The 27,365-nt window shown below is 36.2% G+C and overlaps 1 protein-coding gene and 1 pseudogene across 1 annotated transcript in view; both read right to left on the minus strand.

The window, feature by feature from the left end:
* Window positions 1-16,471: 16,471 nt before the first annotated feature.
* On the minus strand, window positions 16,472-18,767 carry LOC100289026 (putative ankyrin repeat domain-containing protein 20A4; annotated as a pseudogene).
* A 105-nt stretch (window positions 18,768-18,872) lies between these two features.
* Window positions 18,873-27,365, minus strand: part of LOC105379417 (putative ankyrin repeat domain-containing protein 20A2) — a 39,693-nt gene continuing 31,200 nt past the window's right edge. Inside the window, exons 6-8 of the mRNA XM_017030104.2 lie at window positions 24,487-24,557; window positions 20,286-20,449; window positions 18,873-18,911 (exon numbers count right to left, since the gene is read on the minus strand). Coding sequence (XP_016885593.1) covers window positions 18,896-18,911; window positions 20,286-20,449; window positions 24,487-24,557 — 251 coding nt within the window. The 3' untranslated portion in view covers window positions 18,873-18,895. The remainder of the gene's footprint in view (window positions 18,912-20,285; window positions 20,450-24,486; window positions 24,558-27,365) is intronic.

Here is a 27,365-nt window from a genome sequence, read left to right on the forward strand (position 1 = left end):
ATGATTCTTGGGGTAAAGACCATAGAATACGGCACCCAGAAATAAATCCACATATTTCCAGCCAACTGATTTTGGACGAACATGCCAAGAACATACGCTGGGGAAAGGACAGCCTCTTCAAATGAATGACACTGGGAAAACTAAATATCCATATGGAGAAGAATGATATTAGCTTCCTATGTAACACCATATAACAACATAAACTCAGAATCGATTGAAGACTGAAATATAAGGCCCAAAATTATCAAACTACTCTAAGTAAATATAGGGAAAATGTTTGAGGACATTAGTCTGCACAAAGATTTTTATGGGTAAGACATCAGAAGCATAGGCAAACAACAAATCATAGACAAATGACACTACATTAAGCTAAAGAGCTTCTGTCCAGCAAACAACTGAGTGAAGAAAAAACCTGTAGAATAGGAGAAAATATTGTCAAGCTATTCACCTAATAAGGGACTAATATACAAAATATACAAAAAAACTCAAACAACTTCACAGTAAAAAAAATCTGAGTTCAAAATTGGGCAAAATATATAACTATACTTTTTTTTAGAAAAAGAAATACAAATAACCAATAAATAAATTTTAAAATGCTCAGTATCACTAATCCTCAGGGAAATACAAATCAAATCTACAATGTGATATAATCTTGCTTCAATTTGAATAAATTGCTGTCATTGAAAAGACAAAAAAAATAACAAATGCTCGTGAGGCTCCAGAGAACAGTAAACTCTTACATGCTGTTGGTGGGAAGGTAAATTAGTGCAGCCACTATAGAGAACAACAGGAGGTTTTCTCAAAAAAACTAATAATGGGACTGCCGAGGGATCCAGCAACCCCACTACTGGGTATTCAGGCAATAGAAAAGAAAACAATAGATCAAAAGGATACCTGTCCTCATATGTTTACTGTAGCACTATCCACAACAGCTTCTGTATGGAATCAACCTACATGTCCATCACCAAATGAATGGACGAAAAACTGTGGCACACAAACACAGTGGAATAGTATTCACCGTATAAAGGAATTAAATCCTGTTATTCGTGGCCACGTGGATCAGTCTGACGGATGTTATGTTAAGTGCAGACACAGAAAGATAAATACTGCACATTCTTACTCATGTGTGGGAGCTAAAGGAAAATTGAAGGCTGGGCAATATGGCTGATGCCTGTAATTTCCTAGCTCTTTGTAAGACCAAGGCAAGAGAATCATTTGAGGCCAAAAGTTCCAGAGCTCCCTGGGAAACATAGGGAGATATCTCTACAAAGTCAAAAATCAGACATGTGCAATGGTGCATGCCCATAATGCCAGCTGCTCAGGAGGCTGAGGTGTGAGGATCAGATGGGCCCAAGAGTTTGAGGCTGCAGTGAACTATGATCAAACCACTGTCTCCAGTCTGGGTGACTACAGTTGCCCAGAGCCCAGACTACACTAGCAAGACCCTGTCTCTTAACAAAAAAAAGCTCACAGAAGTAGGGGAGGTGAGGCTGGTTAATGGATACAGAATTACAGTTAGATAAGAGGAGTGGGTTCTGGTGTTCTGTGGCATTGTAGGGTGAATATGGTTAACTACGACTTATTGTATATTTTTAAAAAGCCAGAAGATTTTGAATGTTCACAATTCAAAGAAATGAAAAATGGTTGAAGTAGTAAATGTGCTAGTTAGCTTGATCATTACACACTATATACATGTATAAAAATATCACTCTATAGCCCATAATTATGTATATATGTGTCAATTAAAACAAAAGAGAAGCTACATTCATCCCATTTAAAAAGCAGAATATGGGCCAGCCTTACTGACTTCCTTCTAATGAGTAGAATGTAGTGAAAGGGATACCATGTGGCTTCCCTATCTCAGACTGTTTTCCCTTGGAACCCAGCCCCAATTGTGAGAGCCTGAAAGTGCCTGTGTCAGTGTTCATGCTGCCTGTCCCAACCAAGTTTACAGCCGATGGCCAGCATCAACCATCAAACAAGTGGGTGACCAAAGCTTCAGAGGATTCCATTTCCCCAACTGATCAGCTCTTCCTAGGGAAGCTGAAGGGAGCAGAGACAAGCTGTTCTGGCCAAGTTTTTCCCAAACCACAGGTTCATGAACAAAATAAATGTTTTTCTTTCAAGCCACAAGACTCTGGGTAATTGTTAGAAAAATAACTTTTAAAAAGAGACAACAGGAAACATAACTTATGCAGCAGAAAAGTCTCCTTTAAAGTAGGATCTAATAAATGTTGAGATTTATTTATTGATGTCAAACATTATTGAGAAGCAGCAGATAACCAGGAGAGAGACATAAGCTGCTGAGGAGGAATTTTCCTAAAACTCCTTCAATTATGAACTCTGATAACAAGGCAAGGATGTCTCCTTACAATTTCCCCTCAAGTTAGGAAATAAGATTGGGAAGCAAGAAGATGTATGATTTGAAAAACAACTAGAGATACTTGGTGACATAGGCAAAATCAGACATTTACCTGATTTCAATTAACTAAAATTCTAAAAGAAGAAGCTTTGAGTGTTTATTAATCAACCTAGTATTCAATTTTCATTTTCTTTTCTAAATGAGCAAATAAGGAGATTATGGAATGATTTTTAGTCTTCACAGAAGTAAAATAAGCATAGTGTGTTTTGAGTGTTAAGACATCAAATGCAATTTCTCCTTTACCTTACTCCAAGCTTGTTTGTATGGAGAAGTTAAGACCATCCCATCTCTATGTTATGCCACAATGCTCCTCTATAGCACACAACTTGGCTCCGAAATTTTGAAAGTCAAAATACTAACCTACTATGTGTCTCTGATAAATTGCCTGAACATTACCTGATTTTGAAGTGCTGCACTCCTAAGACTTTTTCTTGGAATGAGTTAAACGTTTTATTCCAAGAATCCTCTACTGAGCTAGAAAGCAGAGCTGTGCATCTCTGTTTCAGTAAAAGGAGGTCAATACAGGGAACTGTGGTCTCTGAGAATGCAAGATCTGCACTAAGAAAAGGATTAGCTACAGTACTACCCAAGAGAACCAGCTACCAGGAGGAAAGAGGGTCTGTAAACTGCAAGATGATGACTTCACTTGATTTCCACTGAGGAAAGCTGGTGGTTCAGACTTAAACTTCTCCTTCCTCGATGGTAAACATCTATGGAAGGTTCTATGAATTATAATGAGTTAGTAAAACATAATGCACTAAATATTAGACTATGTCAGCAGATCCTGCGACCAAAACTTACTGAAAATATAACTATAGCGGGAGGCAATGGAAAAGAGACTAAAGGCTTGAATGGAGAAAAAAAGAAATTAAATGTGTCTTGTAAGCCTGGCGTCTGATCATGTCTTAGACGAAGTAAGGTATAAGCTGGCCAGAGACTCCTTTGTGACACAAAAGGTGAAGTTACAGATATTCCACTAAATTTAATTTTTATTATGACATAAGACAACTGGTAATATGCAACATGATTGAAAAAAACTTCTCATTCAATTCGATTGGGCCTTGACATAAGAATAGACATAAAGAAGCTAAGAATTCACAATCTAAAAATAAGCTTGCACTTTTACAATCAATTGATTTTATACAAACTTAACGAAAGAACACAATGGGAAAAGAATAGTCTTTTCAACAAATGGTGCTGGGACAACTGGGTATCCATAAGAAAAAATAAATAAAGTTCGACCAAATATCTTATTTAAAAATTAACTCAAAATAAAATAGTTAACTGTAAAAGCTAAAACTATAAAACCCTCAGAAGAAAACACTGGCATAAATCTTTGTGACAGCATTTGCCAGTGTTTTCTTAGCTATGACTCCAAAGGAAAAATGGATTCAATGGACTTCAAAATTGAAAACTGCTGTGCCTCAGAAGACAGTATGAAGAAGTGAAAAGGTAAGACGCCAAGTAGAAGAAAGTATTTGAAAAGCGTGTATCTGATAAGGGACTTACATATATAGGAAATATAAATAACTCTTGCAATTAATAAATAACAAGATAAGCCAATTTTAAAAAATGGTCAAAGATTTTGAATAGATATATCTGCAAAGCAGATATAAAGATGGATAAGCACATTAATAGATGCTTAATGTAATTAGTCATTAGGAAAATGTAAATCAAAACCACATGTGGTATCACTTCACACCACAGGATAAAATCTTTGTTCAAGAAAAAAGAGGGTTAGAAAAAAATGTAAAGAAATTAAAACCCTTAACTAATGCTGCTGGGAATGTAAAGTGATGCAGCCACTTTGGAAAACAAACTGGCAGCTCCTTAAAGGGTTAAGCATAAAGTTACCATATGACACAGAAATTCCAGTCATAAGTATATACTCCAGAAAAATAAAAACATACACAAGCACAAAAACTCATACATAAATGTTTACAGCAGCATTATTAATAGTAGTCAAAAGGTGGAAAGAACCAGAACGTCTGTCACCTTTGGGTGGGAGAGAACCCAAAGGTCCCATCACCTGGCGAATAGATAAATAAAATGTTTGATGTATCCATACAATGGATTATTACTCAGCAATAAGAAGAAATTAAGTACAGATACCGTATTAGGAGGAGACAGCAAAATGCCTAGGCAGATACGGAAGGGTGCCCGGAAAATCTCCAACCAGCTCCACAAGTGTTTACACCAGATGTTATGTGCAGATAAGGGAAGCTGGACTTGTCTTGCCTGGACATGCCCGCAGCAGACCGGAGGCCCACATGCAGTGGGGGGATGGGGTGGAGTCACCAGGAATTCACGCCTTATGCAGAGGAGGAGCCTGGCCGCTTCAGCTCATGTGCTCCTGGTATTCAATTGTGAGGTGGAAACCTGTTTGCAGGACCCCTCTCTTTGCTGAGAGCTGTCCTTTCACATAATAAATTCTGCCCTCCTCAATGTGTCTGCATGCTTAATTTTTCCTGGTCACGAGAGAAGAACCCAGATGTAGCTGAACTAAGGAGCAAAAACCCGACATCTATACCTGCTACAGCACAGATGCAGCATGAAAAATTATGCTAAGTGAAATAAGCCAGTCCCAGCAGACCACTTGCTTTTTATTTCAGAGGCTTATAGGCAAATCTATACAAAGAAGCTGGGTGGTTCCCTAGGGCTGAGGGAGGAAGGGAAAACTAGTGAAGATGGCTAAATGATGTGGGGTTTGTTTTTAGGGTGATGAAAATGTTCTAAAATTAATTGTAATGATGACGGCATAACTCTGAAAATACTAAAGTTAATGAATTGTATACTTTAAATGAGTGAATTGCATGGTGTGTTCATTATTTCTCAATAAACCTGTTACCCCCCCACCCCGAATTAATTTGGTACTAGAGATCCGGAGATAGGTACTGCTTGGTTTCAAATCACTGGCCAGGGTTCAAGGTCTAAGAGAATCAACAACATGTCCTTTTTATAGAAAAAGAGATTTATATTTTACAAGCTATCCTTTTCATTAGTATCAAGTCTGTAAAATTAAATGAAAAATCTTTCTTTCACTGCTTAAAGCACTGACAGATTTATATAGAGGAATAAGACCTTGTTTTCTTTGGCCCCAATTTCTATCTAAAGGGTCTGGGAAACACACCCTTCAAACTATCAAATCTCATCAGATGGGTTTTATTAACACTTATAATGTGGCTTCCTTTCTAATCTGATTCTGGTGCAGCATCACAGAGAGAAGAGGCTGAAGGAAATCAAAATATTTTACCCCCAAATATATTTTTTGACGTATTTTGAAATGGCTGCTGCAGGCCAAGAGATTGAAATGGCCCTCATTAAGGTAGCCCAATCTCTCCCCTTCTAGGTCTTCCCAGATCTGGGGAAGATTAACTAAGAGCCTGAGGCATTTAAAGTTTGAAAAGATATATTTACCCTCTATTTTATCAACATATTTTGGCAGAATTTGGGTTTTTCCATTATCAATATTTTCCAAAATGCATGATTTTTAATACCAAAACTGATTTAAAATTACCATACATTGGAAGATAAATTATTCTATTATAAAGATACATGCATTTGTATGTTCACTGCAGCACTATTCACAATAGTAAAGACATGGAATCAACCCAGGTGGACATTATCAGTGATAATGGGATAAAGAAAATGTGGTATATATACACCATGGAATACTATGGAGCCATAAAAATGAATGAGATCGTGCTCTTTGCAGGGATATGGATGAACCCGAAGCTGATATCTTCAGCAAACTACTGCAGGAAGAAAAAACCAAACACTGCATCTTCTCACTTATAAGTGGGAGCTGAACTATAAGAACACATGGACTCGGGGAGGGGAACAACAAACACTGGGGCCTGTTGGGGTCAGGAGGGAGAGTATCAACATCAATAACTAATGCCCACAGGGCTTAATATCTAGGTGATTGATTGATAGGTGCAGCAAACCACCATGGCACATGTTTACCTATATAACAAACCCGCACATCTCACACACGTAATCTAGACCTTAAGATAAAATAATTTTTTTTAAATTACCTTCTGTTTTAGCTTCTTAATCAGAATATCCATTTTCAGTTGATCTGTTTTTAAGTCTCCATGGCAACCAAAGTCTTCATTTCCAAATACATTTCACTTATTTATTGTCATTTCCAGGAGGCGTTTATATCTGCAGAAATGTACAGAATTAGTAAGTCAAGTATTTTTAAGAGTAAATATTTAATAATTGTTTAAATATATGTTATGGCATATCAAGGAAACAAATCTATAAACTATGTTCCTTTCAGTTTCAACTGAACATAGTTTAAAAGCATTCTATATGAAATTATAATCTTAGATAAATAATATGAAGAACAATTTTATGTCATATATGGCAGGTAAAGTGATATTATAAACATACAGTGTTTTTGTTTTGTTTTTTTTGTTTTGGATGGAATTTCATTCTTGTTGCCCAGGCCAAAGTGCAATGCAGTGATCTCAGCTCGCTGCAACCTCTGCCTCCTGAATTCAAGTGATTCACCTGTCTCAGCCTCCCAAGTGGCTGGGATTACAGGTGTGTACCACTACGTCTGGCTCATTTTGTATTTTTAGTAGAGATGAGGTTTCACTGGTCAGACTGGTCTTGAACTCTTGACCTCAAATGATCCACCCACATTGCTCTCCCAAAGTGCTGGGATTACAGGTGTGAGCCACCACACCTGGCCTAACTGTACACTTTTTGTAAATAAACTACTCATATCCATGTTGGTATGCTAGGTAAAATAACCTATTACTAAATATAAGCCATAACCCAGAGATAAGTAACCAAGATAAAAAAGTAAAACACATACGTTTGAAAAAGACAAAAAATACATTTTGATATGCATTGATCACAGTCTATCAGAGAAAAAAAAGTACACACAAAAAGCATCAAGGAGATCTTTCAATGTAGAAAAAGAGAAGAAAACATCTTTAATATCTGAGTTGAAGAGAAAAAGGAAACAGGCAGTTTTAGAAAAAAGGAAAGGGGCGGAGAGATGTGTGACGATTTAAAGACTTTGAAGAAGAGATCTAGACATCTTTGCTGACATAATGTCAACAAAATTAAACAGACACAAAACCATGTAGAGAAAGGCAATGACAGAAAAATGTTGATTCGAATCAGAAAACCAAATTAAGTGCTCAGTAAATAAATAGAAAAGTAGCTGTGTTCAAGGCTTCAAAGACAGATTCCGTTGTTTTAAAAAAAATCTGTGATCAAAACATAAATGTTCATTTTACTTTTTCTTCAAGTTATACATATATTTATATATATGAAATTTATTTATGTAAAACAAGTTTAATAACATGTATACTTCATGTATACAACAGAGGTACTCATCTACAATGAGTAAATTTCCATGATATGTTTTATATCTAAAAGAAAAAGAAGCAGAAACAAAATATAAGCTACATATCAAGATAAATTTGATGTTAAAGAATGACACAAACAAGTCTTCTTTAAGGAATTTGAATGCAGCAGAGGGTACTACAAAAGGAAGAAAAAATGACCACAGACAGCAAAACATATCTTCAGAAATAAAAATTCAAACTAGATAATGAAGAGTGCACTGGACATTATATGTCCAAGGCTTGGTCATTGTTTTCAAAATCATGAAAGAATAAGTGGCCGGGCATGGTGGCTCACGTCACTTTGGGAGGCCGAGGCAGCAGATCACGAGGTCAGGAATTCAAGACCAGCCTGATCAACTTGGCAAAACCCCATCTCTACTAAAAATACAAAAATTAGCTGGGAGTGGTGGCACATGCCTGTAATGCCAGCTACTCAGGAGGCTGAGGCAGGAAAATTGCTTGGAGGCATAGGTTGCAGTGAGCCAAGACCGTGCCATTGCACTCCAGCCTGGGAAACAGAGCCAGACTCTTTCTCAAAAAGAAAAAAAAATATTTTGGCATTCAAAAAAAATTTCACCTTGCCCCAGCAGCTCAGCTGACTCCCGCCCCCATGACACACATATCTAAAAAGTTGTGCTGTGAGTTTCTGAAATACATTTTAAAATAGAATTCATTTAATTATGAAAATGCAAACTTAAAATGAATTTGTATCTAGGTTTTAGTCAAGTAAAATTAGAGTTAAATCAATTAATAAGTGGTTAACATGTTCTACAATATGAAAACCATCCATGCCCAGTTGCTTCTTCTTCTAAATCATGACTTTTCTTTCTTATTCGATCCACATTGTACTCCAGTGATGATATTAACTCAAAAAGTTTTCTTAATTCTTCATTTTTTTCTTCAGGCTTAAAAAAGTGTTTAAAATTATTTTTGTAAAATCTAGAGTCCCTCTTTTATCTCAAAAATATTATTTCTCATAAGTGGATGAGTAATATGTATTTAAGCAGGTGTATAAAGTGCATTTTGTAAACCTGATGCCAATAAGGGCAGATCTCAAAAATAGTCACTTTTCTTAAAACTGCTATAAGTGTTTCAAATTTTCATCGTTATCTTTTCTGAAATTTAAACTGCCAACAATGTTTGTTACAAATGAGGGTTTTTACACTCAAAATACTAAGGGTTAGTTAAAAAAAAAGAGCAGTTATATTTACATTTTAGTTTTTAAACATGCTCTAGAAATATTGTCTTTAATAGTTTAAGATATTCCAAGTTTTCTTAAATTACATCTTACTAAGACAATTTTTAAAAAACTCTTATCTAGTTCCCATTACATTTTTCATCCTCATCTGTCTTCAGGTTGAGCTAAATACTGTCATTCTAAGTATTCACCCATAGGTTTCAGTTTTTCCCTTTCTCTTAACCATTTCTCTTTAAATAAAGTATATTTTTCTATAATAAAAACAACTTTTGTCTACTTTTTGTGGCTTTTCTATTATCGTGTTTCTCCCCTTCCATTAGACTCTATGGCACATGGTCTCATTCAGAAATCTATTTTTCATCAATTATGGTGTTTTTTATACTGAAATCTGATTTTTAATAATCCCAATAAAAAAGTCCAAGGGTCATGAAGGACTTTATCCTGCTGTACTCAGCAGAGCAGTGACCAAATGCTCCCTCTGCTCCTCTGACCCCGCCTCCTTTCTCAATGCAGCGACCTCTGTTCTTCAGCCCTGTCCCTTTCTATTCCTCTGACCCCGCCTCCTTTCTAAATGCAGCGACCTGTGTTCTTCAGGTCTATCCCTTTCTATTCCTCTGACCCCGCCTCCTTTCTCAATGCAGCGACCTCTGTTCTTCAGCCCTGTCCCTTTCTATTCCTCTGCCCCGCCTCCTTTCTAAATGCAGCGACCTCTGTTCTTCAGCCCTATCCCTTTCTATTCCTCTGACCCCGCCTCCTTTCTAAATGCAGCGACCTGTGTTCTTCAGCCCTATCCCTTTCTATTCCTCTGACCCCGCCTCCTTTCTAAATACAGCGACCTGTGTTCTTCAGCCCTGTCCCTTTCTATTCCTCTGACCCCGCCTCCTTTCTAAATGCAGCGACCTGTGTTCTTCAGCCCTGTCCCTTTCTATTCCTCTGACCCCGCCTCCTTTCTAAATGCAGCGACCTGTGTCCTTCAGCCCTATCCCTTTCTATTCCTCTGACCCCGCCTCCTTTCTAAATGCAGCGACCTGTGTTCTTCAGCCCTGTCCCTTTCTATTCCTCTGACCCCGCCTCCTTTCTAAATGCAGCGACCTGTGTTCTTCAGGCCTATCCCTTTCTATTCCTCTGACCCCGCCTCCTTTCTCAATGCAGCGACCTCTGTTCTTCAGCACTATCCCTTTCTATTCCTCTGACCCCGCCTCCTTTCTAAATGCAGCGACCTGTGTTCTTCAGCCCTGTCCCTTTCTATTCCTCTGACCCCGCCTCCTTTCTAAATGCAGCGACCTCTGTTCTTCAGCCCTATCCGTTTCTATTCCTCTGACCCCGCCTCCTTTCTAAATGCAGCGACCTGTGTTCTTCAGCCCTGTCCCTTTCTATTCCTCTGACCCCGCCTCCTTTCTAAATACAGCGACCTCTGTTCTTCAGCCCTGTCCCTTTCTATTCCTCTGACCCCGCCTCCTTTCTAAATGCAGCGACCTCTGTTCTTCAGCCCTATCCCTTTCTATTCCTCTGACCCCGCCTCCTTTCTAAATGCAGCGACCTGTGTTCTTCAGCACTATCCCTTTCTATTCCTCTGACCCCGCCTCCTTTCTAAATGCAGCGACCTGTGTTCTTCAGCCCTGTCCCTTTCTATTCCTCTGACCCCGCCTCCTTTCTAAATGCAGCGACCTGTGTTCTTCAGGCCTATCCCTTTCTATTCCTCTGACCCCGCCTCCTTTCTCAATGCAGCGACCTCTGTTCCTCAGCACTATCCCTTTCTATTCCTCTGACCCCGCCTCCTTTCTCAATGCAGCGACCTCTGTTCTTCAGCACTATCCCTTTCTATTCCTCTGACCCCGCCTCCTTTCTCAATGCAGCGACCTCTGTTCTTCAGCCCTGTCCTTTTCTATTCCTCTGACCCCGCCTCCTTTCTAAATGCAGCGACCTGTGTTCTTCAGGCCTATCCCTTTCTATTCCTCTGACCCCGCCTCCTTTCTAAATGCAGCGACCTGTGTTCTTCAGGCCTATCCCTTTCTATTCCTCTGACCCCGCCTCCTTTCTAAATGCAGCGACCTGTGTTCTTCAGCCCTGTCCCTTTCTATTCCTCTGACCCCACTTCATTTCTAAATTTAGCAACCTCTATTCTTCAGCCCTGTCCTTTTCTGGTTTTTTGTTTTGTTTTTGTTTTTTGTTTTGAGATGGAGTCTCCCACTGTCACCCAGGTTGGAGTGCAGTGGCATGATCTTGGCTCACCGCAACCTCCACCTCCTGGGTTCAAGCGATTCTCCTGCCTCAGCCTCCCAAGTAGCTAGGATTACAGGCATGTGCTACCATGTCCAGCTAATTTTTTGTATTTTTAGTAGAGACAGGGTTTCACTATGCTGGTCAGACTGGTCTTGAACTCCTGACCTCATGATCTGCCTGCCTTGGCCTCCCAAAGTGCTGGGATTACAGGTGTGGCCCACCATGCCTGGTGGCTAATTCTCTTTTTAAATTCTCTCAGGACTCCTAAAATCTCAAAACTTTGACCTAGATTCCCAAATCTACATTTCCAGCTCTGACCATTTTCTTGAGGTCTCTTCCTTCTAGTACACATATTATAGACAATATTCTCAACCACATGCTCATACATTGCTAATTGGTGCAGATTACTTTTGTAGATAGTGAATCTTGTGTATTTTATGTTGGTTCTCATTAATGTTACTTTGAGTATACTGTTATTGTCTAATCTCAAAGGGGGACTATCTCACTGTTATGATACTAACCAGTATACTTTGTCCTTTTTTTCTTGCTTTCTTCTTTTTTGGACCAGTATACTTTGTCCCTTTTTTGTTTTTCTTTTTTTCTTTTTTTTTTTTTTTGAGATGGAGTCACACTGTGTCATCCAGGCTGGAGTGCAGTGGCACCATCTCGGCTTACTGCAACTTCCACCTCCTGGGTTCAAGTGATTCTCCTGCCTCGGCCTCCCAAGTAGCTGGGACTACAGGTGCACACCAACACACCTGGTTAATTTTTGTATTTTCAGTAGAGACAGGTTTTCACTATGTTGTCCAGGCTGTTTTTGAACCGCTGACCTCAGGTAATCCACCCACCTCAGCCTCCAAAAGTGTTGGGATTACAGACGTGAGCCACGGCACCCAGCACTCTTTTTCTTTTATAATGAAAACTTTCCCATGAGAATCAGATTATCAATTGTTTGCCTTTATTTTCTTTTAAAGAAATTCCTTTTCCATAGAGATGTGGCATGATGAAAGTCTTGTTCTATAGTTTCTTTTGGGGGACACTTAACTATGTCATTGGGAAGCTTCAGTAAGTAGAGATCTCCCTTCTTCTCACTCAAGATTCTTCATCTCAAAATGGTGTCCACCAAATGTCTTAATCCAGGTAGTCTCTTGTTTAGAAGTTCATGAAATAAGAACCTTCTCAAGAAGTTGGAGGCTATTGATTGAGATGGTTTAAAGCTGCCCCTTATTATATGTTTTACTCCCAAGGTAGACATCAAAGTGGCTAATAATTCTATGACTGATGTCTAACTCACTTCTATGGGAATCTATAGAAAATGTTTTATTTATGAGACAGAGTCTCCCTCTGTTACCCAGCCTGGAGTGCAGTGGCTTGATCACCGTTCACTACAGCCTCAATATTCCAAGCTCAAACGACCCTCCTACCACAGCCTCCCAATGTAGCTGGGACTATAGGCATGCATCACCATGCCTCAGCTAAGTGTTTAATTTTTTTTTTTTTTTTTTTTAGAGACTGGGTCTCACCATATTGCTCTGGCTGGTTTCAAACTCCTGGGCTCAAGCGATCCTCCTGCCTCAGCCTTCCAAAACCAGGTGTTTAACTTGGGACTAACATGAAGCACTTAGAAGACTACGTGGAACATAGTGAGCTACATAAAATATTTGCTATTAGCATAATAATTTTATTGCATATCTTAACAAAATTGTGTAAGTTAGGCAGGTGGCATGCCAATGGAAGTATTCTCCTATAGCTGCACTGAATCATTCTTACCACTGAGAGTTGCAGCAAATGGGGGACATAATTTATAACTTACTTTTCTTTCTGTATGACTCATTAGGCAATGACTATATATGTACTACAACGTAAACAGCACCTCCTGGATTGAATAGAACATAACTGACATGACCAGCAGAGACAGGCTAAAGACACTGAGCTGAAAACCCTGGACTCTATTGCTAAATTGAGGCTCCTGAATCCGTTCGCTCTGAGCAACTGTTGCTGTGGTGCTGCCTTCACAAGCACTCTGCTGAGCACTCAGATAGAGGGGCTGTGCTATCCGTCAACAGACAAGCTGCAGCCAGAACTGCTCAGCTGACAAACTGGTAGAGGTCCAGAAACACAGTTCTGCTGCATAGTGAAAAAAGGCCAATTTAGATTCTTTTTCATAGAGAGAAAAACATAAACATGTGATTGAACGAGTCTCCTGTATTAGACTAATTGGGTTGGCTTTGATATTTAATTGCTAAAAATACACTTAGAATATAAACCTTACTGTGTCAAGGTCTCAAAGAATAAATAATTGGTATGGTATAAAGAAGTATTGAATTCTATGCTACAAACTTCTAAGCTAAAATATTTTCAATGTATGCAAGGATAGGTGACATACATATTAGATACTATTCCCCCATTAAGCAAATTTATAATGAGAGAAAATTATCTTCCATAAAAAAATAAAAGCCATGTAAAATTAAGGACTAAGTTTTTCTGCACAGACTAGACAACGATTGCTAACACATAAGGTCAAAGAGAGAACAGTCAGAGAAAGCTTCATGAAAACAATAAATTGTCTGCCACGTCTGAGTGAATGAGGCTAGATGAACAGAAACTGAGAAGGCAGAAAGGATAGCATGAGCAAGACAAGTGCTGAAATCTGCCCAATTAACTCTGAGGATAAAGTCCAATGGCAGGGAAATAAAAACCCGTGTCCACATAATAACCTGTAAGTGAATGTTCGCAGCAGCATTGTTCATAATAGCTAAAAAGTGGAAACTAACTTAAAGGTCCATCAACTGATGAATGAATGGAAAACCAGTATAGCCATGGAATAGTACATCATTTAACTATAAGAAGAAATAAACTACTCATGTGTGCTAAAACATGCATGAATTCTGAAAGCATTATGCTAAGTGAAAAAGCCAGTCACAAAGGACTACATATTGTATAACGCTATGTATACGAAATATACAGAACAGGTAAATATATGGAGACAAAAGTAGATAGATGGTGGTTGCCTACAACAGAGGTAGGTGGAGGGACATGGAGGAAGGCTGCAGTCATGCCTAGGAGATGTGGGGTTGCTTTTCAGGGTGATGAAAATGCTGTGAATATACTAATAGATACTCAGTTGTACATTTTAAATGGTTGAACTCTCTCAAATGTGAATGATATCTCAGTGAAACTGTTTTTAAAATCCAAAGGCAGGATCAAGATAATTTTCTCAACTCTCAATTTTTGACTTACATGCTATATCAAATCTAAATATTTTTAGAGTTTTATAGTATATTTTAAATTAAAGATAAAGAAAATGCCTAAATTTTCAAATAGTTTGTAAATTAACCTAAAACATGCACATTTCAAAGAATAGTATAATGGCCTTTCTGTACAAGTTAACCTGCAATCTGTGAAATAAATAGACACAGATTCTGTGTCCATTCACGAAAGTGAAGAAATAAGACAACTTTCTGGAACTTTCCATGAAATATTCTCCTCTGATTTAATCTGGCCTGCCTCATCAGAACAATACAAAAATTACTTAAAAATACTGTTTTTACAGGAAAAAAGTAAGTTTTCTATGAGGAATGATATATAATTCTCCACTTTTCCAAGGGTACATATTGTAACAGAAAAGGTATGCAATGGTTTTTCAAAATGGTAGAATGAAAGTCACAATATAAAAAAATAAGTACATTATAAAGATAGTAAAATGGAAATAATTCATTGTAATGAAACTAAAAAATCAAGCTTCTGCCAAAATTAGTATCCTAAAACACGTTATATAAACTCAACTAGCTACAGAATAAGAGTTGACATGTTAAATTCCATACACACTTGACTTTTCACTTGAAATAATTTCTTCTTTGGGGCCTGTGTCTCATCCAAATTAATGTGATAATGTGACATACCTTCCAGTGGAGACTCTAACGTAGTTAATATTTTTAGGCTGTCAGCCGCTTCTTGTTGAAGTTGTCTCACAACCACCTGAGAAAATATTTTTGTTACTGATTTTATAAATTGCCTTATTATTAAATTATGTTAATAATATTTAACTCCCTGCCAAATTGGTATTCTCTTACTTACACAACAGGTTCATCCCACCATTCAATCATCTTAGAAGCTCAACTCAACCTCAAAGTTCCTAACATATTCAATCACCTTTTCAAATCCTTCCAACAGATTCCTATCTCAGGATAAAAGTGAAATTCCAATGGCCTTTGAGGCCCTAGGTAAACAGTCCTCTACCTCCCTCTCTGACTTCAAAGCTCCTACAACTCCTTCCTGTAATTACTCCATTCCCACTGTACATGAAGCCTGCCACCCCTCAGTCTGAAAATGGGGATCTAATGCCTTACTCATAAATCACAGGCAGCTACAAGTATCTTTGTACTGAACAAAATTATATTCCAATGATAGTCATTGAGCCTTGAAATAAAAATTATGAGCTAATTATTAATATAAATAGTCAAAGTAAACTATAAATACCAGTGGCAAAACTAAATCAAACATAGTTTTGCTAATTATTACATTCATTCTAAATTATGATTTTATGACATGTAGGTGCCTTTACAACATTACGTAGTCATAAAAATATGTAATTTGAAGTATTTTCAGATTTTTAAAATTAATATGAATAATAACAAAGATATACCAAAAAAAAAAAACACATAAAAAACTACTTAAAGCAAGGTATTACAAGACACAGCAATACACTTCAGTTCATCTGGGAAGTCTAGAATTAAGTGTCGAAGGAAATCACTTAATTAAATTTTAATTTGAAAATACTCATTTCAGGTGTAAACATTTCCATTTATACCTACATTATGGTCTTAACATGTGGCAACATAAAGTCATTAAAATTATTTCAGCAGTACAGAACTATCTATCTTAAAATATGACTCTGTGCCTAATAAAATTTCATAGGTGACACAATGTCTTTTCTCAAAGTAAATCATCTCTCATCTCTACCTTTTATTTCCTAGAAATGAGGCATGTTTCTAAGCTGATATAGTAAACACATTTTTCCTTTTTTTATTAAAACAGCTTTGTTGAAATATAATTTACATACTATAGAATGTATCTGTTTTAACTTAAAGTTAAAAGATTTTTAGTCCATTTACTGAGTTGTGCAGCCATCTCTACAATCCAACTTTACAGCATTTCCATCACTGCAAGATCCCTCATGCCCATTAGCAGTCACTACCAGCTTCTAGTCCCAGCCCTTTGCAAATATTAATCTACTTTTTGTCCCTATACGTTTATCTTTTCTGGATGCTTCACGTACATGGAATTATACAGTATGGTAAACACACTTTTTATCTATTGATTTTTATATTCAACTAAGTTCAACATGTATCCAGAACCAAATGTTTAAATTTTCTTTCTAGAAGTTTGAAAATATTTATCTTCCTTGATACTTACTACTCTTTCTGCTTTCTCTCTCTCATATTGAAAGAGACTTTCTTTTAAATGATCACATTCATTCATTACCTTCTTATTTTTCTCTTCTAGCATGAGGTCTTTCCACTCTCAATAAAGCTTCTTTGGATATTAGTTATTATCTCTTTATGATACTCTTTCTGATGAACATCATCTAGTTGCTGTTCAATGCACGGATTTTCATGTTGGAGTTGACATATTCTCTCTTCTACACAGCTCCACTTTCCAGTGGAATTATTCTCTTTAGCTTCTGCATTTTCATACATCTCTTTCATTTCCTTTATTTGCTGCTGTGTTTGGCTTAGGTTGTTATGTACAGTTTCTAAAGCCAATGACTTTTTTCTGAGAGTATCTCTTGTCTTAAGGAACTTATCTTTTAAGGTATTGAATTTAATTTGTGGTTTAGAAAGTTGTTCAGTAAGAAACTCATTCTTATCTTCTACTTCGGAAATATCAGAACTCATTTTTACTTGTACGGAAACATCTTGAGTTCTCTCTAAAGCAAGTTTTAGGTTTCTTTCTGTTTTCACACTTTCACTGTGTTTACTTATAGAAGCAGCCAGTCTAGACTGATAAGATTCAGTTTCAGCTTCCAGTCTTTTGTTGCTTTCTTCTTCCTTCAACAGTCCGGAACTGAGCCTTGTATTCTCAGCTTTGAGATCATTAAGCTCTTGTTGATACCGGAATGCTGTTATTGTTATCAATTCCTCATTGAGTTTTATATACTTTTCAAGGACAGCATTTGTTTCTTTAACAATTTTAACTTCCTTAAGTTATTTATTTTCTTTTTCCAGGTTGTCATTTTTCATTGTGCACATTTCCTGTCTGAATATAGCAATATCTGTATTCAAAATGCAATTTTAATCCATCAGATCTTTCATTTCTTCGTGATTATGAAAATCCTAAATAAAACTAAAGAAAGTTTTAGCTAGTACTCAATAAAATATCGTGATTACCTCTGAAGTTAAAGAATAACCTGCACATCCATACACTAAAAAGGTTACTGTAAGTGGATATCCAACTGGAGACAAAGTTGAAGCAACACTTTGAACCTTATAGAGCATAAATTCCAAAAAGTTCAGAAATTTATTTAAAGTCAATGAATTTATAAAAGTAAACACACACACACACACACACACACACACACACAAACCAGAGAATTTTTAAGAATTTCAGAATTGGAAAAGCCTTTCCTTGAATTACAACAAACTGAAAAGCATAAATTAAAGCATTAACAAATTTGACTAAATTAAAATATATCAAAAAATTGCATTTACACTTTGATATCTAACCCATACAACACCCTATAGTAAGAACCTTGGTTCACACGTATTTGGACAGATAAAATTTCCCAGAGTTATTACAGTTCTGTTTCGCTGATAACATTCTATTTCAATTTGACTCTTTTAACACTTTTATATTCAGTTGTAAGAATTACATTTACTAAATCATAAATCTAGACATTATACTAGTCACTCCTATATACATTCATTGATGAACTCATCTAGTTATCACAATTTTGAAAAAGAAATGTTAAAAATATAAGCAAGCTACAGGATTTTCCCCAGGACTTCTGACTCTACTTCTAGTTCTCTGACATATCACAGTTACTTCTGTGGTGTAAATATATCCATATGGAAGAAAACTTTTATTTCAAAACACCAATGGTAAATAAGATAAAATTTATAGAGCTCTTCTTAGAATATCATGAGATTATTTGTGATTGCAATAATTTGTTTCCTCTTTATAATATTAGGTACAGTAATCAATATGAAATAGGGGAAAGTACAAGGAACAATTTTACTGGGAACAGAATCTTTATCAATAGGTTATCACTAAGTATATACTATGGCATATTATTGTTTTCAAAAGCTCTTTGTTATAAAATAATATCTTATGTGGATGCCAAGATTTATAATAAATATTAATAATTGTACCTGTAAGTGGCATCATTCATTTTTTAAAAATGAGATAACATTTCTGGTTTGTTTTAGATCTAAATATTATATATTAAATCAAGAGAATATTAGAAGAAACTTTCATAAAATAGTTTAAAATATAGAATTTTTACCAAAGATTGATTTATCTGATTTGGAGTATTTCTTGCAGTCTTTGTTTTCATCTCTAGTGATTGAACAGTTGGTTCAAGTTGCTTTGCTTCAACTTCTTTCTTATGTTGTTTCTCTTTCCTTTCTAATTCTTCTCTATTTTTTTGTACAGCATATTAACATTTGTTTTTTCTTTATTTTCTTATCTTAAGATGCATCTGCAGATAAAGACATTTATCTTAAAACTCATTTTGTTAAAAAATAAAGAGTTCATCCTGTGATCTACCTCTGCAGATGCTCTTTATCATCCTAATAAAATTTCTGTGTTCTGAATTATTTTTCCTGTTTAGTTCTCAGATATTTAATCTCTCACTTCAACATCTTCAAAAGAATGCATATACTTGAAAAGTAGTAAGGAAAGAATATTCTGCTGAAGTTTTTGTTACTAGTCACTCTAGCATATATTATAAAAAAGGATACTGGAGATAATTCAGTATAGTTAGAATTTCAAAATTACCTTTTCAAATCACACAGTCATAATTACTCCCCGATTAGAAAAGGTCATTTACAATCAACTAAATTTTTAAAGTTACTATTTATTGACAAGCGTATAAGTTCACTAGAAATAAATTTTCATCTTTATGAAATATTGCAGGTGTCTCTCCAAATGATTTACAGAGTAAGATGTCTCTCACACAAACTATATCTGCAGATGATTGTCAACTAAAACTAGGCTAAAGGGTCTAACATCTGTTACCCCACACTTTTTATAATTCTTTCTTAATACTTCCAATTCACCTTCTTATTACATATATTTTATGTATTTATTAAGCTATTGTTCATTATGTGTAATATATAATTAATGCCCTTAATAAGTGTATGTTTACACAAGTTATGTTTTCCTGTGAAATCTAGTCCCAGAAGTGGAGTTGTTGAGTTAAAGAGATGTCAGGTTATTTGAAATTTTGATACACAGCACTAAGTTACCCTTCAGAAATAATTTACCAATTTCATATACCAACAGTGTATGAGAATGCCTTTTTCCTCACATTTGCCAATGGTAGTAATTACTTTTTCAATACCAGCATGACTTTACAAAATATATCTTATTTTATGTTAATTTGCACTTTTCTGATTACCAGGCAGGGCTAAATATCTCTGGTAAAAATATAAAACTTGTTAATCATAAGGAATATTAGTCCAATTTTGAATTAGTTTATAGCACAATGACAATTGTCTGCTGCGAAATACTGCTATAGGTGGCCAGGCACGGTGGCTCACTCCTGTAAACCCAGCACTTTGGGAGGCCGAGATGGGCAGAACGCCTGAGGTCAGGAGTTCGAGACCAGCCTGGATAACATGGTGAAACCTCATTTCTACTAAAAATACAAAAAATTAGCTGGGCATGGTGGTACACGCCTGTAATCTCAGCTGCTAGGGAGGCTGAGTCAGGAGAATCACTTGAATGCAGTAGGCATAGGTTGCAGTGAGGTGAGAACACACCATTGCACTCCAGCTTGGGCAAGAAGAGAGAAACTCCACCTCAAAAAATAAATAAATAAATAAATAAACACTGCTATAGGCTTACTTACCTATGATGCTCTTCCTTCAGCTTCTTGGTAAAAGGCTGAGGATAGGTTTTCCCAATATTTCTTTGTTGGGTTAATCTGTCAGCAGCAGCAGCAGATGTACTATGACATACATTTTCTGATAGTTGTATTTTTTCACTTTTGTTTGTATTATTTCCTTCTTTGACCTTTAACAAAAGTAATATGAATAATAATTATTATTTTATTCAATAAAAAGAAGTTTTTCCCTGATTTTTTCACTTGATTCAGGTTAACTATCACCGTTTTAATGATAAAAATATTTTGTGCTTACTTTAATTTTATCATTATACATAATTATTATAATTATAAGATACTCATCATTTTATCATTGAAATTTTTGTCAAGTCTGCTCATTTCTGTTTGAGTGAATAGAAGAATTTTCCAAAATTTCAAAAAGGACTCTTCTCCATTTTGTGCTTTTATTCCCATCCACTCTTTGCTATCTGATATAAATATTTATGTTATCTGACTGGCAGAAACAGAGAAATAAAAAGACACAGGCATAACATATATCTTCTGTCATTGCCACCTGGATTTTACATGAAATAGCCAGATTAAGAGGATGTGACCTTGTAGGGCTTCAGGAACAGTAAAGAAGTTTTCCCTTTTCTACACTGAGCTATTCTTTTCCCCATTGCCTTTTATCTCTTTTTTTTTTTAATTCTGGGATATCAAAAAAGTGAAAGTTCTCCCTGAACTATGGGAACCAAAGTTTGCCACAACACAAGAAGCAGAGTGAAACTGCTGAGTTTCCAGTGCAGAATTCTGGAAAACGACATGCTTCCCAGATTTCACATTCAATTATCAGAAAAGTTATAGGTGGAAAACATACGGTACAGTTATCTACTTTAGCCCCATTATCTACTGAAAATGGGAGTCAAACTAACAAAGACATATGAAATGTTTCATCGAGAGCTCTTGAGGTGGCATTCTCTAGCATTTCATGGCACCAAATAACATGATACAATTCCATATTGCTGAATTACATAAATTACCAAATAAATTTATCAAATTAGTCAGATATATTAAAAGTCTAAGTTGAGCAAAGCAATTTAACGCCTCAGAGGGTGGAAAAAGGCCTCATCTGCTTTTACTTTGAAGAAGAAAATCTCTAGATTTTGTCTATCTTTAGGACACAATGTACAGAACTCAACTTTCTACTAAAGAATCAAAGGATAAATTTTTATCTAAGAAATTATGCTTCTTACATGATAAAAATCACACATGCCAAAACTTATGATACTTTATTAAACAACATAATGTAAGGACTGATTCAACAGAAATATTGGAGTGGTGATTTTTTAAAATATGTGGAAGTATATATTTGTTTTCAAAATATTGGAAATAACCATGATGGAACTATAAGTTCAAACAGTTTGAGCTAAGCAGATGAACTTGCATGCATGAAAATACATTAAACAGACTCATTTGGCTGGGAATATTCATTGCAACTCTCAAGGCTAGACGTGTTTTTGTGGCTCGTCTCAGTCATTGCTTCCCTCCCATTGTATTCCCATTCTATCATTAAATAAATGTAATTCATCTCTAAATGAATACAGAAAAAAGAATCTAGAATCTAAAGCTTATTTCTTTAGCAATTTCTTTATGTTGATCTCATTCAGAAGGTCACGTGGTATATGGCTGAATTAGTTTCCCAGCTCATATGCCACTTGGAAGACTGAGAGTGAGACTTAGGTTGATTAATGAAGAAACATTATGAGAACATTCTCCAGAACCATTGTTTAGATAGCAGGACTAATCTACTTTGACACATAATTACACATTTAGAAAACCCCGCTGTAACTGTACACATGAGATTTTCTTGAATAGAAAATTTGACTAAATCAAATAATTGATAAAGAGAAAAAAGAAGCAGCAAGTGAACCTCTGTCTTTTTGAAGTTGGACTTTCTGTTTCTCCAAAGCCAGGAGCTCTACTTGTAACATGCCTACCTCATTCTTTTTACTATTATTATACTTTAAGTTCTGGTACATGTGCACAATGTGCAGGTTTGTTACATATGTATATATGTGATATCTTGGTGACCTTGAAATATCTTGCTGTAAGTCTTCTAGCTATATTTTTGATGTTCTCTCACTATGTGGCAAAGAATAACCCGCATTTTATAGTTCAAGATTCATGGTTTTGTAGTTATTAACACTGGGATTTTCATACAGCGGCTTCTGGAATAAGCACTGTGTTGGTTTTCTGTTTTTATAAGTATCTGTAGCAGCAGAAATACTGTGACTTTCTATCTGAATCATATGCTTCATTTCTTTGGGGTGGGTAAACCACAAATCAAAAAGGCTTTCTGGATCTCTAGACTGAGACCAATGCCTAATTTCCAATTAGTGGTATTTGGGTTTATATATTTTTCCATTTGCATGTCAAACTCTTAATCATCTTTCATTTCAATCATAATTACTGGGTTCCTTACTTTTTCAGTTTCTATATCATAACAAAAATTTCCATCATCTGTGTTAGAAACAAGCTGTGTGTCTGGTTTGTTATCATTTTTATAGTCTGATTTATTTTAAATTAAATGAAGCTTAGAAGATGACTGGTAAGTGTATTTCAGGGACCTGGAGTGTGAATGGAATAAAAAGACATTTGACATGGGCTTCCTCTGTTCAGGCGCTGCCTGGACTGCCACAGAGCTAGACCCTCCAGATACATTTTTCTCCTCACAATCAGGGACATGATTCATCAGACTAGAGGGCACTCCTTTTTTGTTCATCCCTCTTTAGAGTTACCATGTAGGAGCTCTTCCTCAGGGCAAGTAGTAATTTTGGAGTTTTCAGAACTTTTACCAATATTCAGCTTGAACTTGTTTGTAATGAATTTTAAAGAAAGTCATGAATATATAGATTGATTCCCTTTATCACTGTTCTTACCCAGTTCTGGTTCTTGAGACTTTTTTTGGTGGGGGGCAGGTGCAAAATGGAAAACAAATTTGCTTGTTTTGTTTCTCAGATGTCTTTTCTGTCAGAGTGCATGTTTTAAAATTAGCTTTAATCAAGTATAAACAAAGAAATATTAGAAAATAATTAAAATTTAACTGTGAAACTTAATCTATGTGTTGCTACTCTTAAATTATGGGATTGTAACTAAAAAGTGAAAAATAATTTGCTTTGGCTTAACATAGGACAGAAACATGAACCAGCAAGCTGAACTCTCACTGTCTGTTTGGACTAAACTTAATGCATTTGTGTAAAATCTACCAGAAATGAATTCAAAGATGATAGGTAGTATTATAAAAGCTTCCTCTCTTACAAAGACTTTACCTCAGCATACCAGAAAGAGTGAGCCCCTACAGTGCATGTTTATTTCTGAAGATTAACTAGAGCACTAGGCAAACACTAAATTATTAAGAGCTAAACTGAACACCAATAAGAAAGAGAAGTAAAATTTTAAATTCTAATTCAAATGATATACTATGATAGTGTTATGTATCTAGATAGAATTTCTGCTTATATCCACTTCTAATATATTTTAAGTTCCAGTAGTGATAGGGTTTGGATTTTTTAAATTTCAGTAATGTTTACTATGTATTTATGTTGAAATAAAGTTATTGTTCACACCCTGACACCAAAGGTCCCATTCTGCAAGGTAGGATTCTCTTAATAGGCAACTGCATTGACTTTTATGACCCCATTCACTCCCTGAACACAGACACAGAAGTCAACTGGTGACCACAAAACAGAATAAATCTTTAACCTCGGCACTGGTGACCAGCAATATAAAACTGCAACATTTGAAGCACTGGCAATGATGACTCCTTTAACACTAGTTTAACTCAGTGGCCATTGTTGTTAAACTGTTCATAATTTCTATTCCTCAGTAATATGACCCAATACTTCATGTTACCTTGTGTATTATGAGTAAGGTTATATAAATAAAACAGCAAGGTAATTCTGAAAATTTCTTGCCTCAATTCTAAGGGTAAATACAGCTATGAATTACTAGAGATACTAAGAATTACTAGAATAACTAATAGTTACTAGAGATAGTAAGAATATCTTAAGTTTCATAACTGGTTAAGATGTTTTAAAAATTAAATATAAAATTATGATCTATTGGATTCTAAAGGTATAGTCTGAAAGGTCATGTCATTTGGACTATGCTTTGTTAGTAAAGCAAAAAAAAACCCTAATATTAAACAAGAACTTAAATTTTCATATACCTGTGATTGCTTCTTTTCACTTCTTTCACACCTTTCTTGCTCTTCCTCTAAAGCCACTGGTAAGGTTTGTTCTGTTGACAAAGTCATTGATTTAGTTCAAATGAACTAAGAAGAGTTAGATAAGGACTATAATCTTTATAAAAATAAATAGAGAATAACATTTCTTTGTATTTTATATTTTGAGAGTTTGAATGAAACAATGTTTACTGAAATATTTACTTCTGTAAGAAATACTTCTAATTATCCAAAACTTCAACAAACCACTTGGGGAGACACCAGATATCACCAGATTCAAGCCATGTAAAATCTCAGGGTCACTCACAAATTGTTCCACCCAACATAAGTCAACAAAACTGTTGGAAACAAAACAGAAATTTGAAATACAGTCAAAATATACAACGTAATGCTTTATTATACTTCATAACAGTATCTTTTTAACAAGACACTAATTGAGTTGGCAGTTACTAATAATTTGCAAAATTATTGTTGTTTATACCTCAATTAGTGTGCACCCCATTTTTTACATCACAAATGTTTTCCCCTGCTATTCTGAAAAATTTATTTTCATCTTTTAAGACTCAGAAAGTAGGCTGGGCATAATAGCTCACATCTGTAATCCCAGCACTTTGGAAGGCCAAAATGGGAGAATCGCTCAAGGCGAAGAGTTTAAGACCAGCCTGGGAACCATAGGTAACCTTGACTCTACAAAAAATTAGACAGGTATGGTGATATGTTCCTGTTGTCCCCGCTACTCAAGAAGCTTAGATGAGAAGATCCCTCGAGCCCAGGAGTCTGAGGTTTCAGTGAGTCTCAATCATGCCATTGCACTCCAATCCTGGGTGATAGAGTAAGAACTTGTCTCCAAAAAGAGGAAAAAAAAAAGGCTCAGAATGCTATGTGAAATCTTCCTTGATTCTAGGTATCTTTCTCCACACACAGAGGTGTCTGCTTCGTTGGGGTCCCTTAGTACCTTGTCAATTTTTCTAGTGTCACTTTACCACCTGACCTGCACATCATGTCTTTACATGTTGACCCCTTTGCTGCTAGACTGTAGAGGATAATCTTTTGAATCATCTTTGTATAAGCAGTCTTAATTTTGCTAAATAATTACTTATTGAGTTCCTGCTAAGTGTTAGGCACTGGGGAATAAGGAAGGAAAATAGAAGCTGTCAGGGATGGCTTTCCTAAAGATCATCCATGAGCTGAGACTTAGAGAGTGAGGTTAGCCAGATTAAGCGAGGCAGAGGGCAGGAAAGGGTGAGCACATGCCAGGCAGCAACAAGAGAGGAAGAGAAGCCTCCAAGAGCGTATGTATTTCTCTGCAGAAGAGGAATGGTGAGGGGGCCATTACCAGCAACTCAGTAATTCCAGAGAAAAAGGCAGATGGGGAAAGGGATACAGATGGAGATTTGGGCAGAAATCAGTTTCCTTTTCTTTTCTTTTTTGGGACAAGGTTATACTCTGTCTCCCAGACTGGAGGGCAGTGGCATGATCTCAGCTCACTGCAACCCGGCCTCCCAGGTTCAAGTAATTCTCCTACCTCAGCCTCCTGAGTAGCTGAGATTACAGGCGCGTGCCACTACCACCTGCTAATTTTTGTATTTTATTAGAGATGGGGTTTCACCTTGTTGGCCAGGCTGGTCTTGAACTCCTGATCTCAAATGATCCACTTGCCTCAGCCTCCCAAAGTGCTGGGATCACAGACATGAGCCACCGTGCCCAACCCAGAAGTCAGTTTCTGAAATCCTTATATAAACCTTTAAGATGCTTAGACATTAGGTATTCAGGAGTGATTCACGGATCTATTTGCATTAGGGATAATTCACTCTAAATACTGTGAGGAGCATAAAATTCTGAGGCATATAAATCAATGAACAAAGATAAAATATAAGGCAATGTTGCAAAGATGATGCAGGCCTGAGGAGATGTTTTCAGAAATATTTAGGATATAGGTATCAGTGGCCATTATAAGAATGAATTTCTATTGAATAAATAAATGTATATATCTCGGTCCCTGGAGAAATACACTCTGCTCATTACTTTACAAATTTTATCAATCAAATGAGAAGTAAAGTAATATACATAAACTCTTTCAGTTACTTGTATTTACTTTACCCTTTTTCTGTTTCAGTTTTACTGTGCCAAGGAAATGCATTTGGGTTTTGTGGTGGTTGTTGTGGTTGTGGTTGTGGTTGTGGTTGTTTTTGTTTTTTGAGATGGAATTTCACTCTTCCTGCCCAGTCTGAAGTGCAGTGGTGTGACCTCAGCTCATGGCAACCTCTGCCTCCTGGGTTCAAGCGATTCTCCTGCCTCAGCCTCCCAAGTAGCTGGAATTACAGGCATGTGCCACCATGAACAGCTAATTTTGTGTTTTTAGTAGAGATGGGTTTCTCCATGTTGGTCAGGCTGGTCTCAAACTCCCAACCTCAAGTTATCTGTCCGCCTCAGCCTCCCAAAGTGCTGGGATTACAGGCACTAGCCACCGCACCCAGCAACATATGGGGATTTTGTTTTAAAAGTTCTGTTCCCTGGATCTACCAAGCTCATGAGAAAATAGAGCAAACAAGTCATTTGCATAGGTAAGAAACTTTGGATTTATAGCTTGTCCTCACTACTCTAGAAGATTATCATCATGTTTTGCAAAGCAAAATGTTAAACACAGACATAAGGGGAAAAAGAAATTAAAACTATAGGGGTGGGTGAAAAAATATTGCATAATTTATTACTGTTGACCTCATCATATGACTGATTAAGGGCACTGAATTTAACTTGGATGTGAAGTAGACCTCATATTAGCTGCAGTTAATCAGTAGACCAGGCGTCCTAGCAGAATTAAATTTGATGCTCCTGTGTTATCTTTAAATGACACAGCTTTTCTG

The sequence above is a fragment of the Homo sapiens genome, unplaced genomic scaffold, assembly GCF_000001405.40.
Source record: "Homo sapiens unplaced genomic scaffold, GRCh38.p14 Primary Assembly HSCHRUN_RANDOM_CTG4".
NCBI lineage: Eukaryota > Metazoa > Chordata > Mammalia > Primates > Hominidae > Homo > Homo sapiens.